The sequence below is a fragment of the Homo sapiens genome, chromosome 12, assembly GCF_000001405.40.
Source record: "Homo sapiens chromosome 12, GRCh38.p14 Primary Assembly".
In the NCBI taxonomy this organism is placed as follows: domain Eukaryota; kingdom Metazoa; phylum Chordata; class Mammalia; order Primates; family Hominidae; genus Homo; species Homo sapiens.
In genome coordinates this window covers 33,649,689-33,665,633 of record NC_000012.12, presented here as the reverse complement: position 1 = coordinate 33,665,633, position 15,945 = coordinate 33,649,689, and the positions used below count along the sequence as shown (strand labels likewise).

At 34.5% G+C, this 15,945-nt stretch overlaps 1 annotated feature.

Moving 5' to 3' along the window:
• Positions 15,141-15,740: an enhancer, noted in NCBI's record as "OCT4-NANOG hESC enhancer chr12:33802829-33803428 (GRCh37/hg19 assembly coordinates)". NCBI's record gives its function as "activates a minimal SCP1, AML or CMV promoter by ChIP-STARR-seq in primed H9 embryonic stem cells {active_cell/tissue: H9 hESC(primed)}" and the evidence as "EXISTENCE:reporter gene assay evidence [ECO:0000049][PMID:30033119]".

Genomic DNA, 15,945 nt, shown 5'->3' with positions numbered 1-15,945 from the left:
TCAATAAAATATCACTGAAGACAAGAGCAACAATAAAAAGGTTTGAATAATACTACTCTATGGGACTACTTTGAGGACTGAATGGAATGCATTTTTTTGTATACAAATGGATTCTTTTGGTATTTTGTATACAAATAAGGATGTATTTTGTATAATACCTAGCACATGGTAAGTGCCCAGTAAATATTAGATGTTGTGGGAAAAATAAACATAGACAATATCGAGATTTGTTGATGATGTTCAGAAACTCGAGATCTAATATACTGCTGCCAAAGCATATATTGGTACAACCACTTTGAGGAACAGTTTGACAGTATTGACTAAAGTCAAATATATTTCTAACCTATGATAGAAGTTTCTCTCAGGTATAGAACTAAGAAATATGAGTATATATGACCCGCTCAAAAAGATGCATAGGATTATCCAAAGCTTTATTCATAATAGCCAAACACTGAGATGACTCAAATGCCCATCTGTTTTATTGGACTATCCATTGCTATAACTGAACACTTGAGACTGAATAATTTATAAAGAAAATAAATTTATTTATTACAGTTCTGGAAGCTGGGAAACACAAGGTCAAGGGGCAACATCCCTTGAGGACCTTCTGCTGGTGAAGACTCTGCAGAGTCCCAAAGTGGCACAAGACGTCACATGGCAAAGGGGCCACAGCATGAGCCAAACTGGCTTTTATAACAAACTTAACTCTTGTGATAACTATCCCACTACCATGATAACCCATTAATCCATTAATTTATTAATCCATGAATGGCTTAATCCATTCATGAAGACTCTGTCCTCATGACCCAATCAGCTATTAAAGGCCCCAACTCTCATAATGGGGATTAAGTTTCAACATTACTTTCAAAGAAGAAAAACATTTGAAGCATATCACCATCAACTATTGAATGGATAAATAAGTTGTAGTAGTTCTTATAATGGAATATCACACAATGATATAATGGAACAAACTACTACTACAGGCAATAACAGGGGTAAATGTTGAACAAAAGAAGCAAGGCCAAAAAAGAAGGAGAGTTTACAATTTGGGTCAAGGAAAGAAGCTCAAGACTAGGCTAAATTAATCCATAATGATAGAAGTCAGAGGGGCTACATCTTTGTGGGAATGGTAGTTGCTGACTGGAAAGGAATATTGAAGAGCCTTTGGGATACTGAAAATTTTCTCTAGGTTGATGAGGGGTGGTTACACAGTTGTATACATATTTAAAAATGTCATGAATCTGTATTCATGATTTGTGTACTTTACTGTAGGTATATTATACTTTAATATAAAAATTTTTAATTATTAAAAACTTAGGATGTAGAATAAATAAAATAAAGCGTTTACTTAGGTCCACCACGATTTTAAAACATCAGCAGTAGGACTGCTGACACATTTTATAAACACACTGCAATAACAATTGGATTATATAACAACAGTAGGGGTCATTCTTGGATAAAAAAGAATAGCAACATTAATATTTTCACAATATTTGAGACATAAGTCCATGAACATATTACATTTCATAAATTATGAGATTTAGGGATTACTGAAATGAGAAAGATAAAAATTTTATCACTTAATTGCTATATAAAAACAAATAAGCTAAAGTAAAAAAATATACAATTGTAAATATGAAGTAAAAAGCATACACAATCGTAAAAAAACATACCTTTCTTTTCTTCCAAGCCACCCAAATAACAAAAACATACAGGAAGTAGAAGAAATATGTTAAACTGAAAAGTTCATAAACTAGAAAAATATGAAAAATAAATTTCGAAAAAAATCTAAGAATTAGTTCTTTGAGTATATCAATAAAAGAGATAGTTGACTTGCTAGCTTAATCTAGAGAAAAGAGAAAAAGATGATAATATAATTATTGTATATTTGTTGAAAAAATAATGTATTATCAAAGACAGAGATAAGGACAAAAGATTAATATAAATCAGTTCTTTTTATGCTAACCAATTCAAAACAGATTAAATGACTGATTTGTAAGGAATATATAAATTAACAAAATTGATTAAGAGAAGATGGTTCATCAAAAAGCCAAAGAGAACAATTTTTTAAATTAAGGATGTTGTCAAGTAAATACTCCTCAAAAAAGAAAACACCATTCTCTGTCAATTTTCTTCTTTTGTTTTAGCAACGATTCCATATCTACATGGAATGTACATAAGTCAGCATATTTTTGATACATTAATTTGGAGACTAAAGATGAAATACAACCTCACTATTCTATTACAACAATTGTGTATGTTGATAATAAAACCTGAAAAAAATTCTAAAATTATGCACAAATATTACTGCTAAATATAAATTAAAAATTTTAAAGGAAATATTTGTATATGTATTTTTAAGCTAACTGAAGTGTTTTGGTTTTTTATTGCTAATTTACTTAAACTGGAACTACATTTCCCAGGATTCCACCCCCGCCCCGCCCCCTTATGGTTCTGGTCCAAGATTGACCACAAGAGAAATCTGCATGAGATTTGGGAGGCAGAAGAGAAGCAGCAGTCATTACTCTCTGAAAATCATTGTCGGGATTCAGGTGCTGCTGTTTCACCCACTGGCTCATTTTCTGCAGATCCTCCAGCTCCAACTGATCTCCTCCTTCAGACTCTGAGTCCTGGACCAAATGCAGATTTTTCCGCAAATCTCCCCATAATCCATTTTAAAGATGGCGAATGACAGATGTAGATTTATATTCATGGGTTGCTGATCATAATCCTAGGTTTCAATTTTCCTAACTCTTGCCTGATTTTCTTCCACAGTCAGCCCTGCCAACCTACAGTGGATTGTGGCCCATCCCCAGACACAGGACAGTAGCCTTCCCTAGACTCCTTTACCTGCTTCCCTCTGGATTCACTGGTTAATGACTTATCTAAAATGTCTCCTTCCAGACCTTACTTGCTCAGCTTCTCCCTTATGTACTCCTTGTAATACATCCCTTAGTACTTATCAGTCATAATTGTTCCACTTCCCTGATCAAATGCTGATTGGTCAGTGGTGTTAAATCCAACAATGTAAGGATTGTTTGCATAAGGAAATCTACCATTATAGTTTATCATTTTATATGTCAAATTATCATCTTACAAAAAACCCAAAAAACTTCTATCCCAGAGAGTTTCCAGCAAGTCCTATAACATTCAGTGAGGAAATAATGCCAACCTTACATCATTTCAGATAATGAAAAAACAAGAAACAGCCCCTAACTCAATTTTATCATGTAGCTAAAACAAAATATAAAAATATAACAAGGACAATATGAGAATGTAAATTTATAGATTCATCTTATTACCATAGGTACAAAAGCCTTAAACAGAATTTTAGTATAACAAATCCATTAATATGTGTTTCCGTGTGTGTAAATATATTCAAGTTAAATTTTACCCCAGAAAAACAATGTTGGTATAACTCAGAAAATCAAATAATATAATTCTCCACATTAATAACAAAATATTTTCTAACTTCAATAGGTATAGGAAAATTATGCAATAAAATGTGGAAGTATTCATTTTTTAAAAGTAAGAAAACAAAACCCACTATCACCAGCACTATTCAATAGCTGACAACAATGAAGTAAGAAAAATTATAAGTAGTATAAGGATAGGAAAGGAATAAATAAAACCACCATTATCTGAAGATGAAATAATTATATATGTAGAATATCTTGAAGGGTCTCCAGGCAGAAACTGGCAGAATTTAAAAAGGATGATCATATCAAATCTTGGTAAGGATGTGCAGCTGAGGAAACTCACATACACTTCAGGTTGAAATATACATTTAATTACAAGACAGTTTGGCCAAAAATAACATTATTATGTCCACTTTAAATGCCCTTCAAAACTGGCAATCCAACTTTTCCTTTCTTCTTGTTTACCTTACAAAATAATGGTTTTCCTGCCGTCTCCCATTCTTTAGGTATTCTCTCTCCTCCATCTTCAAAATACATTCAAAACTCAATTTCACTTTCTTCTTTTCTTTTTACTTGTTGGATTCTTTTTTAACGGAAATCTTCCACCTTGCTGTCAACTTCATGAGAGATATCCAAGGCAGGTCACATTTTCAGTTTAAATTTGTTTGGTTACACATTGCAGCATTGTTTATCATCTCATTTCTTCCTGTAACTCCTGCTGCTAATACTAGAATCTGTTTTCATTTACACACAGTTTGTGCCAGGTACACAGTGAGCATTAAACTAATCTGTATTGATGATAATAAATGGAGAAAAAAATTAAACATTGGGAAAGAAACCAAGTTGCTCCTCTGCTATCTTGACTTGCTGTCTTCAAGGATCTGGGATTGATAATTGGAACTTTCACTAGCTCGGAACTTTCACCCAATTAACTTAATTTGGGTCAATATATTTCTTTAGCAATAGAATATTGTAAAATGGTGATGTAGCTATAGATGATCTTATAAATGCAAAAAAAACCTAATTTCTTTCCTGTTAATTGTTTTTCTTAGATGATAGGTTTTACAGTAAATTAAAATGAAGATCAGGCTTGAAGAATCTCTGAGCAAACAATTAGGCCTCACAGGGGAGCTAAACCTTGCTTGATTTGCAAACATAAGTGAAACTTAACTTGAGCTTTTTCTTGTAAATGCCTATATTAAGGAAAAGCAGAACTTTTAAGAACTAGTCAACAAGCTCATAGTTAGAGAACTAGGAGCATTTTTTATTTATTTATTTTTATTTTTTTGAGACAGAATTTTACTCGTTGCCCAGGCTGGAGTGCAATGGCACGATCTCGTCTCACTGCAACCTCTGCCTCTCGGTTCAAGCGATTCTCCTGCCTCAGCCTCCAGAGTAGCTGGGATTACTGGCATGCGCCACCACGCCCAGCTAATTTTGTATTTTTAGTAGAGACAGGGTTTCTCCATGTTGGTCAGGCTGGTCTCAAACTGCCGACCTCAGGTGATCTGCCCGCCTCAGCCTCCCAAAGTGCTGGGATTACAGGCGTGAGCCACCTCGCCCAGCCGATAACTAGGAGCTTTCTAACTGGAGATACTAAAGGAGACAACTGTATAATTGCAACTAATCAAATACTTTATTTTCTTTCTGCATTTACTCCATACTTTCCTCTGACAATCTGTCATCAGCCCATTAAGCCTCTCTTGGTTTGGTGTTACCCAATTCATAAATTACTTCTTACTCAAATTAACTCTTAAAAAAGTATTGTGCCTCAGTTTACCTTTTTAAGAGTTTGGTGTCAGAAAAGTGGGATCTGAAGGAGACCGTCATCAACTCCCAGGAGCAATAAGTAACCAGGAGTAGCACTGAGCCCATGGTGCTCAGTGTTTTCTTTCTTTCTTTCTTTTTTTTTTTTTTTTTTTTTTTTTTTTTTTGAGACGGAGTCTCACTTTGTCGCACAGGCTGGAGTGCAGTGGCGCGATCTCGGCTGACTGCAAGCTCCGCCTCCTGGGTTCACGCCATTCTCCTGCCTCAGCCTCCCGAGTAGCTGGGACTACAGGCGACCGCCACCATGCCCGGCTAATTTTTTGTGTTTTTAGTAGAGACGGGGGTTCACCGTGTTAGCCAGGATGGTCTTGATCTCCTGACCTCGTGATCCGCCCATCTCGGCCTCCCAAAGTGCTGGGATTACAGGCGTGAGCCACCGCGCCCAGCCGGTGCTCAGTGTTTTCTTACCGCCTCTGGGGGTCATGAGTAAGTCCCTCTTAGATTTGAAGCTCTGCAATTTGTGTCCTGAGATCTCTGAGTTTGTTTGAATAATTTTATTTCAGTTTGGATTCTGGGGACAAAATGAGTGTTCAGAAGGAACTGGACTAGGTCCAGGCTAGTGCACTAGTTTCTAGACTAGTCTGTAATCCAAATTGGAATCTGAGAAATTTGTGTTAGATGTCCAACAGGTCAAACAGGGTGTTTGACAGAAACCAGAAAGAGTCCACTTGGAGGCCTTAGTAAGTAAAATTTTAGAAGGACAGTGTATTATAGGTTTGTCAGAATCTAGTGAGTCTCGGACTCGTCTGTCTGGAACTTCAGCTAATTATATGTTCAGAAATTGTGGACCCAGAACCTATTACTTTTTATAGAACTGTTGTATCTCAGGAAGATGACTTAGAGTTACAGTGGCCACAATGGGGGAAGTTTTATTCTAGATACAACTATTCATCTATGAGCACATTAAGAAATGAAAAGGGATCCCCAAAGCCTCCAAAACAATGAGACACATTTTTCAATGGGTATACAGAGGCTCCTAAAGGACAGACTACAGCACACTCATAAAAAATTATTCTGAATCTTTTAACTTGTTTGATTTCTTGCCTTTTCTATTTAAACCTCCCTAACACCAACTTTTTTAAAAAATTAGATTATCAGATGAACCAAAAGCATCTGCAAAAACTCAGTTTAACTTTTGGTCTTGCACACAATTCCAAACTATTATAAAAGCAACTGCCTAAGGCTAAAAAGGATAAAGACTAATTGAAAATAGAATGGATCTCTCCTCCATTCTAGTTCCTCCATTCTAAGTCACTCACCTAACTGTACTCCAGTCTCAATAATATTGACACCTGATAATAGGCAGCTTTGCCCCAAAACTCCATCTTGGAGAAAACTTAATATCCTTTCTTTGTGCCTTTGAGATGTTTAGATCTTTAAAATGCAGGCTAAATTTAGAGAAAAGACTCAAAAGAAGAAAAAAAAGATAAAATTTTTTAGAAATTAACTGGCAAGTGAAAAACCTTGAAAGTCCATCCCACAAATATTAATGAAAAGCTTTAGCCATTTGAACAAGTAACTTTAATTGCCAGAGACTTGATTTGGATCCAATTAGTGAGTTTTATATTATTGTCACTGACACATGGCTAACACTTTAGAACAGAAGCCATGAATTTCTGGTTCCATCTGTATGTTTGTGTATGATTATCTGTGTATGTTATTTATATGTAATATATATTATATATAAATATTAAATATATATGTAATATTTATATGTAATAAATATTAAATATATATGTAATATTTATATGTAATAAATATTATATATAAATATTATTATATATAAATTATTAAATATATATTATATATTTAATAATTTATATATTAATCAACTATTTATTATACTACCTATATATGATTTTTTAGAAATAATATTAAATATTAAAAGATCTGTATGTAATTGACTTAAAAAATAAGCAGCTATATAAATTATTTTCTTAGAAAAGAAACTAATCCGAATAATTTTTAAGTTCACATGACTTGAGTAATGTTTAATAAATAAGAATATTGATGATTTAGTTAAAAAAATGGATATTTTACCTAGCTTTCCTAGTGAAATAAGCTCATATTATCTCTGTTACAAAATTTATCAATAAGGAAAACAATCAGAGGTTACAAGAAATTTTGTTTAATGTTATGTCTGCCTGAAGACAGTTTCCAAAATCTTTTTGAAAACTTGAAACCTTAAAATTATACTAAGCTAATTTAAATGATAGCTATTCATTAAATATCTAAATCATGTCCAAATAAGATAAACTACTAAAATAATTCCTGAACATTAATTTAAGATTGTGTATTCTTGGCTTCTTATTAAATAGGAACTTGAGATATTTGGGTCTGCTGGTAAGCATGTTCTGTGCTATGAGAAAACATATGCTATTTTAAAACTATGAAATAATGTACTGCCTCATTTTGATAAAAATTAAGATTACTAAGTGTTGGGAATAATGCTTAAATTTTTAAGGAAATTGAACACTTAGAGGATTTTTAGCAAAGTAATTTTATTTTTGCACCGAGGGGTGTTTTTTTTTTTTTGGCCAGTTGCCATAAGAGCACACTTGAACAAAGGGGCACAAGAGCCTTTATTTTTGATGCAAGTCTGGCTCTTGTATTTTTTTTTTTTATTGGCCGTGGTCAGGTCGTATAATTTAAACTAATTTTGGTTGGCTAAACATTTGGGTTTTTTTAGATAAGGTGGGCACATAAAAGAAAGAGAGAGGAAAGGGGAAGGGGTGTTTTAATGAGCTGGAGCTGGAAAGTTAGTTTTTTTTTAAATAAGGAAAGGAATGTGAACTGGTACCGGTAACGCCTGGTACTGTGGTGTGCCTGGGCATTTAACAAAGGCAGAAAGGAAAAAGGGAAAAAAGGAGTGCACTAAGGGTTAAGAATTTTAATTAGTATGTATAATTAAAACTAGTAGAAATTGTAACGATGAGAAGAAAAAAGCTATATATGAAAAAATGTACAAAAAAGTAGGATGTGCTGTTAATAAGGAAATGTATAAAAGATGTGTGTTTTCATTAAGGAAAAAATAGAAAGTAAGTTTGCCTTAAGGCAAGATAACTGATTGTTCTAGGATAAAAAAGAGGAAAGACAAAAACTGAATAGATATAGAAAGCTGCAGAAGGTCTGGAATAAAGGAATCTTACATGTGGTCGAACTACAGAGATTAGATGGATTTTATTTATAAGGTTGATTTTAAAATAAAAAGCTTGATAATGTAGGAATATAAATTTGAATTTGGTTTCCCTCTGTTGAAAGGATAAAGGTTTTTTTTTTGAAGCACTGATCTGCTCCTGATTATGAACTTTATTTTATCTTTAAGCAATTGCACTAGAAAACAAAGATTTCATGTTTTATCATGATAATTTTTAATGCTTCATATTGTCTTTCATTAGATATTGAAAGGAGGTAAGTTTTTTAAACAAGTGTTTAACTTCCTGTATTTGCTTTCAAAACTTTTTATCACTTTAGTATTGTTTCACAGTGGCCTGTGATCGTTTAATCAAGCGTCTTAAACCTTTTGATATCTTTTTCCCCAAAGATACATCAAATAGTAAATCTCTTCATGATTCTTTTTGATATTTTTTGACAGCTTCCAAAAATCAAATTCTAAATTAAGTCATTTTGAACTTAAATTAACTTAGGAGTCTCCAGAAGCATCCCTGAAATATCTCAAAAGACTTATTTATTTCTCCATGAACAAAGAGATGTTAATTAGGCTTTTTTGATACATTGAATTGCATGTGAAGCATTGTCAGATAATAAGTGATGTTAAAACTTCTTCAAGTTATGTTTGTTACTGATATGAGTACCCAGAAATTATATGAAATTTCTAAAAACCTGATATATCCTGGTATATTGATACCAGTAATAATTCTAATTATTATGTTAAAATGTATGTCACCAAAACAACTACATTTCTTTGTCAGTTGTATGATACAAAATCGCAAAAGTTTAATTAAAAATATTCTGATAAGTACATGCTTCAGATAACTTTAAGATTATGCTATTGGACTAGGTAAGAATTTTGAGAACTGTAATTAAAAAAACTGATGGACTCATAAAACTTAAGATCAAACAAAACAAAAATAAATGTTATGGGACTGAGTTAACTGGTGAAAATAATTATAATTTGTATAACTTTTTGTTTAAAACATTGCTGGTTCCTTAATGTCTTATTTTTCATATTTAAGGAACTATTTTTTCTTTTCTCTTAAGCTTTCTATAAGTTACAGCAATTTGATAAAATGTGCTTTTGAAAACAAAAATGGAACATTTACAATTTTATTCCTGCCTGATTGCTCCAGAATTTGGAAACTCTTATTAAATATTTTTATCTTTATTACAATATGGAGGTTGGCATAGGTTCAATAAAAATCTATTCTTCTTGTAACAAGACATAATTAGGCAGGTCCTTGGCTTGGGTTCTTAGCCTAGAGAGGTTTTTAAGGTCTATCTTAAGATTTCTTATTACCAGATAGTTTTTAAAAACTAAGTTGACTGATACAAAGTCAATAATGTTCCTTTGGTGTTACCAAAGATTTGGCTAAAATAATGTTTTCATTTCGTATTTTTTTTGTTTTTTGAGACGGAGTCTCGCTCTGCCACCCAGGCTGGAGTGCAGTGGCGCGATCTCTGCTCACTGCAAGCTCCGCCTTACGGGTTCACGCCATTCTCCTGCCTCAGCCTCCTGAGTAGCTGGGACTACAGGCGCCCGTCACCACACCTGGCTAATTTTTTGTATTTTTAGTAGAGACGGGGTTTCACTGTGTTAGCCAGGATGGTCTCGATCTCCTGACCTCGTGATCCGCCCGTCTTGGCCTCCTAAAGTGCTGGGATTACAGGCGTGAGCCACCGTGCCTGGCCTAAAATAATATTTTAAAATATATATAGCCTTACTATTCTTCTTTCACTTATGTAAATAATCAGGTGAAGTTTACTTATTTTGTAAAAGAGAAATTAATCATACTGTGATTATTCTGGCATAATGGAAGTGACTATATAAAAGGAGAAAGCCATAGTACACCCATTAGCAGATTCTACTTCTGTTTATTTTTCTTTAAGGTTTTGTTATGCATCTGTTAATGGGATTGAATCTCAAAATTTTCTAGTTTCACTAAAATCTAAAACTGCCCTTCTCCCAAGGGCATTCAAGTTTCCTGAATGCTGAAACTTGATGACTTTCAGCTTCAGAAAATCACTTCAATAGATCATGCATGGATGACCTTCAGACCTGCTGCTACACAGGATGCTTAAGAGAGTTTACCGGAACACCCCCCGATGACATAACCAAAGACATCCAACTGCCATCCTCATTCCACCATCTAAGGATGGTTCAAACTCGAATCTAGATGTCTTGACTCACTACCCTACGGCCTCAAAAACCAAGAACATAATTTGCTCCAAATATAAACCTTTGTTTTTATTTTGTTTTCATAGAACAATACTTTGAATTCCTTTCAAGCAATACAATCTGAAATGAACAATTTAACTGCAATAGTACTTCAAAATAGAAGTTCTTGCTACCTTAACAGCCCAATAAGGAGGAGTGTATGCTGTTATTGATAAAAAAAAAAAAAAGTTGCTTCTGTGTTAATAAATTAGAAACGGTTGCTCAAAATTTAAAGACTCTTAAGAAACAAATATAAGTCTCTTGCTAGATAGGTGCTGCCTCCTCCATTGATTTATTTAGTTGGTTAATTCTTGGTTCCTGGGAATATCTGCCTCAGGAATTTTTTTAATCCTTGGCTATTTTTATCACTCTTTTCATTATATTCACCTCCCTAGTGTGTTGTATCCTCTCAAAGGTTTTGAATGCTTTCCAGCAGCTACTCACACATCAAATGATTGCCATCAGGATTAGACAACATGCAGAACTCAACAACCCAACCACCAACGCCTACAGTGACTTTGCAGTTTTTGATAACAATGACTATGTGACCTCTCATCCCAATGCAATTATTGATGATGATTGTATCTACATGACTCTTTGTTCCAGTGACTACATCAATAGTGACAACCATAAGTAATGCTATAGCATTTGGTCACACTCTCAGATTGCCAAAAGGTTGACCAAAAGAGGGAAACTGTTAAACTAAAATGAATATCAGACCTAAAGAATCTGGGCAAACAAAACCAGTTACGTCTCATAAGTGACCTAAATCTTGCTTGATTTGCAAACATGGGTAAAACTTAACTTGAGCTATTTCTTGTAAGTGCCTGCTATTAAGGAAAAACAGAACTTAAGCTCAATCAATCAGAAGTAGCCAAGAAACTTATAACTATATAACTAGAAATTTTCCAACCGGATAGACCAAAGAAAGCAACTGTATAATTGCAATCAAATAATTTTTTTATTTGCTTCCACATAAACCCAGTAAATACTTGCCCTGATGATATGTCATGGGAACATTAAACCTCTCATGGTTTGGTGTCTCCCAATTTATCAATTACTCAAACTTCTTACTCAGTCTTTAAAAAAGAAATGTTATTGTGCCTCAGTTTACCTTTTTTCCTTCAGAAAACCATAGATTCACCACACCCCCTTTTTTTTTTTTTTTTGAAACAGAGTCTCACTCTGTCACCCAGGCTGGAGTGCAGCAGTGTGATCTCAGCCCACTGCAACCTCCACCTCCCAGGTTCAAGCGATTCTCATGCCTCAGCCTCTTGAGAAGCTCGAATTACAGGTGCACGCCACCACACCTGGCCAATTTTTGTATTTTTAGTAGAGATGAGGTTTTGCCATGTTGTCCAGGCTGGTCTTGAATTTTTTGCCTCAAATGATCTACCCACAAAAGTGATGGGATTACAGGCATGAGTCACCATGCCTGGCCCAGTTTATCTTTTTAATACAGATACTGAATGAAGCTCAGCAGGAAAGTCATTTTCAACTTTTGACACAGTCACCTGCAATGGTTGTTAAAGCAGCAGATTTTCCAGCCCTATACAGAAAGATTCCCATTTAGAAATTTTGAGATGAGGCTTACTGATCAATATTTTTAGCAAAGAACATATTCATTCAACAAATATTTTTGAGTGCTAGTCATTAATATTTTATTTTATATATAGCTGGGAACAAAACATCAAAATTCTTGCTTTTGTGGAGCTTACAATTCAGTGAGAAGCTCTAACATAAGTGTTTGTAGTATTTAACAGCAGTCTTTAACTCTCCTATGCTTTCTAAATATTGTTGTTTATAGTAGTATCTACTGTGTTTGGTGTGACCTTTGGATGAGGAACTATTTTGGGAAGGTACAATATTAATGTTAATGATACAATGACCACATATCTATATGCTATATCTTGATTTTCTTTCTAATTTTCAAAGCCATGTATCTGATTGAAACTGCCATTGCAACATATACACCATGGAATACTATGCAGCCATAAAAAAGGATGAGTTCATGTCCTTTGTAGGGACAGGGATGAAGCTGGAAACCATCATTCTCAGCAAACTATTGCAAGGATAAAAAACCAAACACCACATGTTCTCACTCATAGGTGGGAATTGAACAATGAGAATACTTGGACACAGGAAGGGGAACATCACACACCCACACACCGAGGCCTGTCATGGGGTGGGGGAAGGGGGGAGGGATAGCATTAGGGGATATACCTAATGTAAATGATGAGTTAATGGGTGCAGCACACCAACATGGCACATGTATACATATGTAACAAACCTGCATGTTGTGCACATGTACCCTAGAACTTAAAGTATAATAACAATAATAAAAAGGAAATTGCCATTGCAAAATTATAACTGAAAAAATGAAAGAGAAGTGGCCATGTGGCCTAACCAACTCCTTTTTACTTCTAACCTCCAAGCTGTCCTTGTTCATTCCTGAGTATAGGCCAAACTAACTTTGGGAGGAACTTAGTTTATAGTTTAGCTTTGAAACAAAAATGATAATAGCACATTCCTGAACAAAACCCCTTCTTTCCTGTGAACCAGATTGCCTTTGTAGTATTAACAAATTAGCTACAAGTTTAGAAATTAAGATTTAGGGGCCATGCAGCTTCTGGCTTCAAGAGTCTCAACCTTCCCAAATTGCTTCTGGGAATAACATTGCTGTTCTGAAATCAGCGATCAGTGCTTGAGATACTTTGCAGACCCTGTGTTCTGACACACCGGCTAACACCACCCAAACTGGTAATCTGGCTCAACCAATTCTATGATTCCATCCAAGGAACAGAAGACAGCAAGAAAACTCACTGAGACACTCTATTATTTTATCTCCAATCCAACCAATCAGCACTCTAAACTTCCCAATTCCCTACTTGCCAAATTATCCTTAAAAACTCCAGTTCCCAAGTTTTTGGGGGGACTGATTTGAGTAATAATAAAACCATGGTCTCTTACACAGCCAGCTCTGCGTGAATTGCTCTTTCTCTATTGCAATTCCCTTATCTTGATAAATTGGCTCTGTCTAGGCAGCAGGCAAGGTGAACCCGTTGGGAGGCTCATGATCTGTAGCTTTTTGATTATAAAATATGCTCTTTCAAGTAAAACAGTAAGATCCATGATGATGTAAAATAGGAGAGGCTTTCAAATCTACCTATTTTTGAAAGAGCATTGAAAACTCTCAACTGTAACACTATAATTTTAAAAATGAAGCAATGGATACTGATATTAATTGGGAAAAAGAACATTCAAATTTTCCTTAATATCAGTTTATTTAAGAGAGGAATGTTTCTTTCCACTTTTAAGGACTTTCATAAGACCCTTTTCCCTCCTACCCCCAACAAAAAGACCTGTTACACAAGCTGTAGAATTTCAGCAAATGTAAAAACACTATTAGTCACATCAGGCTCAACAGCTAAAAATCAAAGCCAAGTACTGACCCATAATCATTTCTTCCCAAGAAAATATACTCTTTTAAGCAGAAAGAGTGAGATAGTGCTCTCTGCAACAAAGAATTGTCCAAAAAGCCAGGAAACTATGGTTGACCCAAACAAATATGCCAGAATAAAGTGAGGGTATATGCTATTTGAGATGTTTCATTCAGATACAGCCACAGTGTCCTGTCAGTATTTTTAGTTATTGCTAACAGAAGCTTTCTCAGGCTGATCGAAAGGAAAAAAAAATTGGGGAAAGCTGGCAAACAGATTTGAGACTAATGTTCCACATATAACAAATGACCCAAACTGTCTTCTAGCACCATGTCAGAAGAAAACCTCTGCCAATGCTACTGAGCATAGACAGTGAGTTTTCATTGCTCTTATTTTTGTGCCAGAAACTCAGATCTAAAAATTTTCTGCCCTTTTGTGCCACCAACTCCTGAACTTTGATGAAGTTGCAGTGAATTGGCAGAATTTGTGTTACAATCCTGTGCCTTAGCTGCAAGGGAGCCTAGGAAAGAATTTGACATTTCCAGTTTCAAAGTGAGATCCTTTGTGTCCTCCACCAAGATTCATAAAAATGGTTAACTCCTTAGCCACAAGCTTAAATGATGTACAAACTGAATGATAAAGAACAGTTGCAGCCTTGTCTGGCTAATTCTTTTTATTTTTATTTTTTTACTTTCCACTTTTGGGAAATGCTAAACCTAAAAACTTTGCTATGGAGATAAGGACTCCATGCTCTTAAAAAAATCTAAAATAGATTAATGTAAGTATCTTTTCCTTTCAAGGGCATAAGAAAGTTGATTTCTTTCCCAGTGAATCACTCACAGAATGGAAAATGATCCTTAGTTATATATGAACATAATGAAATGTAAGCACTGTAATTATTTCTGCAAGATGAACACAAATAGTTTAGATGACTTTAAATTTGGTAGAAGAAAAAGAATATTTTCAGTGTGTTCTAATACTCTTCTAATGTTACTGACACGATGATCACATATCTTCCAGTGGCAAATGCTAGTTTTAAAATAATTCTCTTAGAATGGAAACCATGCCTCTTCAGCCTTTCTATATCTTCAACCAGAGTAGAAAATTTTTAATAATTTAATTTTAAAAATCAGGTCATAGCTCCTCTAATAAATTTAAATTTAAATAGATTAAAATTTATCCCTGGGTGGAGAGCAAATTGAAATCAAAGACTGCACGCTGTGCTTCTCAACCTTTACGGTGCATATCAATAGTCTGGGTTTTTTAAAAATAAACGCATATTCTGCTTCCAAATAAGTGGGATGGGGACAGATATTTGCATCTGTAACAAGCTCCCATGTGTTGCCAGCTGTTAGTACACACAGGCTACATTTTGAATAACAATGGCTTTGAGTTTAGCAAAGGTTAATGAAGAATCTTGAGCACCTGTTGCCACAGCTGCTTTGAAAACGGGAAGGCCCTGAGCTTGCCTTTTTTATCAAATTATATTGGAATAACAGCTGAGGGACTTTTTTGAAGAAAATTGCTTTAAAACAACTAAGAATAGGAATCTTAGTTTCTGTTGGGGTGAAAGTCCCTTACTACTCAATTTATACTTATTTTGTATCTTGTGACAATGAAAGGATCATGATCAGTTTGCTGGTAGTTCTCCTGGATTTATGTTCTGTAAAACATAACCCACTGTCTTTGAACTACATGGGCTTTATTCTAAAATATCTCTGGGAAATGAGTGGCTGAACTTCATATATTAAGAAGGTTTAAGTACTTTTGCCTTGATTTTCTATTCAGGAATGAGTATAATAACAGTTATGACCAGCGGGTAATTTTTTTAAGTAATATAAATGTTCAGTTTTCCTCTGGCAAA